Here is a 5,293-nt window from a genome sequence, read left to right on the forward strand (position 1 = left end):
ATATAAGCACTGAGTCAGCTTCTTTGGGTTTTCATTTCCTTTATGTAGAGGCCTCATGTATGTAAAATTAAAGTTTGTATGCTCTGTCTCCTGTTAATCTATCATTTAACAGTTCAATTCACAGTCCTCAGACGCTTAACCTAAGAAGAAAGAAGAAAAGCTCTCTCCTCCCCCACAATGTCAACACTATTAATGAATGTCAGATATTGCTAGAGACTCAGGGTACAGGATGAATTGGGTTATGTTTTTTTCCTTTCAGGAAAAGATCTATTGAATATAGGATACCTGGATGGAGTCTTAAAAGGTGATTCAGTATTCAGTGACACAGAAATGTGGGGGTGGAATACAGGGCTATTCCATGTGGAGGACCGCGCTTAAGTGATTACATTGAGGTAAAAAAAATAGCATCAAATGAGCTTCAAGTGCTTGGTATATGATAGGTGCTCAGTAGACATTCTTTTTCCTCTTTTGTGCCTTCTTCTCTAGAAATAAACCCAGTTCATGCCATAAGTACTATTTTAAAAAATCAAGAAGGTCCTATAAGTGCTCAGCTACTCCAGGTGTGGTCTATGGACAAGAAGCCTTGGCATTACCTGGGAGCAAATTAGCAATGCAGCATCTCAAGCCCCCATTGCAGACCTGCTACATTAGAATCTGCAGTTTAACAAGATTACCAGGTGATCTATATGCACATTAAGGTTTGAGAAGCATTGCTAGGGGATAAGGTATAGGAATAATTTCTCTGGTAGGTGGAAGGATGGTTCCAGAAAGCAGAGAGGTTTGTGGAGAGCTCCTAAAATGTGACGGTTGCAGTAGCAGTGAGGTAAGGAAGGGTAGGGCATTTGCACATGATATGGGATGGTTGATTAAGAGCTGCTACTTGCTGCGGATTTACCTCCAGGTGTCCTTTATCCTCAGTAATGTCTCTTTTCACTAAGTAGCCTATTTTCTCCTTGTTGGTCTTGTTCTTAACCTGACTTCCATTTCAGACAAATGTCTTATGGCAATTTAGGAAGCACATTCTTGATGCAAATGATAAAAGGCTCAAATTAGAAGTCCAGGCCTTCTTTAAACAAGATTAACCAGCTCCTGCCAGAAGTTGAAAACTGTTAAATTAAGTTTCTTAGTAGGGCCTGCTGAGCTTCTTTTCAACCCCTTCTTAGCACCACAGCAGCGTGGAACTCCCAGAGATAAAACCCAGTTTTCATGCAAGGAAATTGCTAAAACCTACAGTTTGAGGATGCAGGAGCAAGTGCCTCGCCTTTGAACAAGGTAGAAGGAGAGAGAAATAAACTACCACTTCCCGTAGTGCTAAGGGACTGTGGGGAACTTGTACATATACAATCCTTGCCTTGGCAAGTATCTGCTAACTCTGGGCTAGACTTTTTTTTTTTTTTTTTAACACATTTCACTCTTCCTGCACTCCTCATTTATGCAATTTAAATAATCACGTAAAAATTAGGTAGGTAATGTTAGGGAGGAAAAGTTTTTTCTCTACCCACTTCAGTTCAGCACTTGGAGGAGTGCAAATTAAACTGACAAAAGATTAACAGGAAAAAATAGACTAGGTTTATTCACATACATTTATTCAGGAGCTTACAGAAAATATGGCTCAAAGAAGCAGTTATAATTTGGGGCTTATATACCATCTTAATAGGAGAATGGGAGGGAGAGAAAAGGCACTTATGGAAAAATGAATGACTCGGCACAGATAAATTGGCCCTTAGGAGAACAGATGGGAAGTATGACAGTTTTATGGTAATGTTAGTTCATGTGATTTATCTGGTGATAGGAATCAATCCCACCCCCTCACCCCCCACAAATAATAGGAATCAATTCTTCCCCTACCCCATGTAGGAAAGCCTCTTTTGAAGGAGAATCTATGGCAGTTGAATTCTTTTGAAAGGCTCTGCTTTTTCAGGCAGATAAGGGCAAGGTGGGGGTGGGGGTGTCAGGCAAAGCCTCCTTCTGCATATGTTGATTCTCAAATGTCTTGAGCTCAAAATAATTTTATCCCATAGTGGTATATTCCAGATCCCTTCACTCATTAAGAAAATAAGGGGACATATAAAGAACATACATGCTGTCTCTAACACACACACACAATCTCCCACTATTGCCCCAAACTGGAAATGACTATTAACATTTTGATTTACTTGTTTTTCAATCCCCTTTCTGTTCATTTTTTTGGCACATGGTTGAGATTATAATACATAACCAGTTTTGGTTCTTACTTTTTCAACTTAACATTTTCGACTTAACATTTAAGAAGTGTATATGAGAAAAACTTTTTAAAATTTAAAATTATGAAATCTTTCAAACATAAACTGAAGTTCAGAAAATAATATAACAACCACCTGGGAACCCATTGCCAGGATTTAAGAGATGTTAACATTTTACTATATTTGCTTTGAATTACTCTGAAAAGAATATGTCACAAACGCAGTTAGGGCCTCTACTCACTTCCTCAAGCCTTGTTACAATCACTTCTATTCAAGGGTCACCACTGTCCTGAGACCGGTACATTTTATTTTCAGGTCTATTTTTAACTTTTGTCAATAATACATACTAATATTTGGTAAGATTTTAAATTTTACATAAATGGTATCATGTTGTATATATCCTTTTGCAACTTTCTTTTTATCATTCAATATTAGGTCACCTTGGAAAAAAATAGTCTTTTTTCCATTTAATTATACAAATGGAAAGTAGGTATCTTGTTCTGTTGGAAAATGTTTTAGCTTTACCAGGGCCGAGAGCTTAGAGCTAGCGGCAGTGGAGTTAGGAGGTACATCACATGATGTGTTTATTTGAATCCATTAATTGATAAAGAACTCAAGGAACATTCTGGAAGAAATAGCTGCAAGGTCAAGACCCCATTTCTCTTAAGTTTTGAGTTGTATATGTAGGGGAGTAAAGGTAATCTTTTCTTCCTCACTCATCACAAGCTTTATGGGTTAGACCCCCATAAGAAAAGACAGATTAACAAAAGAAAAGCATAACAAATTTGTTTTAAAGGTTTTGTATTACATGGGAACCTTCACAAATGAAGACCCAAAGACTCAGGGAAAACTGTGTTTTTATGAACTGTGGTACAGAAGCGTGAGGAGGAGGACAAAAGGGTGTGATTCAATGGTAACATACTGGGGAAAACTCAGCAAGACCTGCTTGTTCAAAGTTTTCTTGGCCTCTAGGTATCAGGCAGGATCCCTTTGGGATGAGGGTCTTATGACTTATTTTCAGGGGAGGTAGGTCAGAGAATTCTTTTATGGCCTGCTTCAGGGAAACGTCATGCTTATTTGGTTTTCTTTTTTCTTTTTCTTTTCTTTTCTTTTTTTTTTTTTTTTTTTTTGAGACAGAGTCTTGCTCTGTTGCCCAGGCTGGAGTGCAATGGTTCACTGCAACATCCACCTCCCAGGTTCAAGCGATTCTCCTGCCTCAGCCTCCTGAGCAGCTGGTATTACAGGTGCCCGCCATCATGTCTGGCTAATTTTTGTATTTTTTAGCAGAGACGGAGTTTCACCATGTTAGTCAGGCTCTGCTGAAGTCTTGAACCACTCAAAGTCATTCACAAGGCTTGGAATAAACTTTTTCCAAACTCCTTTTAATGTTGACATTTTGACCTTCTCTCATAGATCACAAATGTACTTACCGGCATCTAGAATGGTAAATCCTTTCCGTTAGATTTTCAATTTACTTTGTCCAGATCTATCAGAGTAATCACTCTTTATGGAAGCTATAGTTTTACAAAATATAATTCTTACATAATAAAACTTAAGTCAAAATTATTTCTTGATCTATAGGCTGCAGAATAGATGTTGTGTTAGCAGGCATGAAAACAACACTAATCCCCTTGTACATCTCTATCAGAGCCCTTGGGTGACCAGGTGCAATGTCAATGAGCAGTAATATTTTGAAAGGATTATTTTTTTTTCTTAGCAATGGGTCTCAATGGTGGGTTTCAAATATTCAGTAAACCATGCTGTAAACAGATGTGCTCTCATCCAGGCTTTGTTGTTCCATTTATAGAGCACAGGCAGAGTAGATTTAGCATAATTTCTAAGGGCTCTAGGATTTTCAGAATGGCAAATGAACATTGGCTGCAACTTAAAGTCATCAGTTGCATTAGCCCCTAACAAGAGAATCAGCCCATCCTTTGAAGCTCTGAAGCCAGGAATTGACTTCTCTCTAGGTATGAAAGAACCGATAGCATCTGCTTCCCATAGAAGGCTGCAGTGAAAATCTGTTGCTTAGTGCAGCCATCTTCATCAATGAACTTAGATAGGTCTTCTCAGTAACTTGCTACAGCTTCTACATCAGCACATGCTGCTTCATCTTGCCCTTTTATGTTATGGAAATGGCTTCTTTCCTTAAACGTAATGAACTAACCTCTGCTAGCTTCCAACTTTTCTCCTGCAGCTTTCTCACCTCTTTGCCTTCATAAATGGCGTTAAAGTCTTGTTTTCGATTAGGCCTTGGTTTAAGGGAATGTGCTGGTTTGATCTATCCAGACCACTAAAACTTTCTCCATACAAGCAATAAGGCTATTTTACTTTCTTATTCATGTGTTTACTGGAGAAGCACTTTTAATTTCCCTCAAGAGCTTTTCCTTTGCATTCTCAACTTAGCTAACTGTGTGGTGCAAGAGGCCTAGATTCTGGCCAGTCTTGGCTTTCAACATCGCTTCTTTAAGCTTAATCATTTCTAGCTTTCGATTGAAAGTGAAAGATATGCAACTCTTCCTTTTACCTGAAGATTTAGAGGCTCTTGTAGGGTTATTAATTGTCCTAATTTCAGTATTTTTGTGTCTCATGAAATAAGGAGGCCTGAGGAGAGGGAGAGAAACAGGAGAATGGCCAGTAAGTGGAGCATTCAGAACACATATGATATTTATCAATTAAGTTCACTGTCTTATATGGGCATGGTTCACAGCACCCCACAACAATTACATAGTAACATCAAAGACCACTGGTCACAGATCATCATAACAAATATAATGATGATTCTTGAAATATTTTGGTAACATAAAAATTACCAAAATGCGACACAGAAACATGAAGTGAGCACATGCTGTTGGAAAAACTGACTTTCTTGATGCAGAATTGCCACAAACCTTCAATTTGTAAAAAGTGCAATATCTGAGAAGCTCAATAAAGCAAAGTGTAATATAATGAGGTATACCTGCATATCATAATTTCAAGAAAAGTTTCGTTTTTTTGTTTGTTTGTTTGTTTTTGAGATGGAGTCTCGTTCTGTCACCCAGGCTGGAGTGCAGTGGTGCAATCTCAGCTCA

At 38.3% G+C, this 5,293-nt stretch overlaps 1 annotated feature.

The window, feature by feature from the left end:
• Positions 812-1,313: an enhancer, noted in NCBI's record as "NANOG hESC enhancer chr3:31167054-31167555 (GRCh37/hg19 assembly coordinates)". NCBI's record gives its function as "activates a minimal SCP1, AML or CMV promoter by ChIP-STARR-seq in primed H9 embryonic stem cells {active_cell/tissue: H9 hESC(primed)}" and the evidence as "EXISTENCE:reporter gene assay evidence [ECO:0000049][PMID:30033119]".

Source organism: Homo sapiens, chromosome 3, assembly GCF_000001405.40.
Source record: "Homo sapiens chromosome 3, GRCh38.p14 Primary Assembly".
Lineage (NCBI taxonomy): Eukaryota > Metazoa > Chordata > Mammalia > Primates > Hominidae > Homo > Homo sapiens.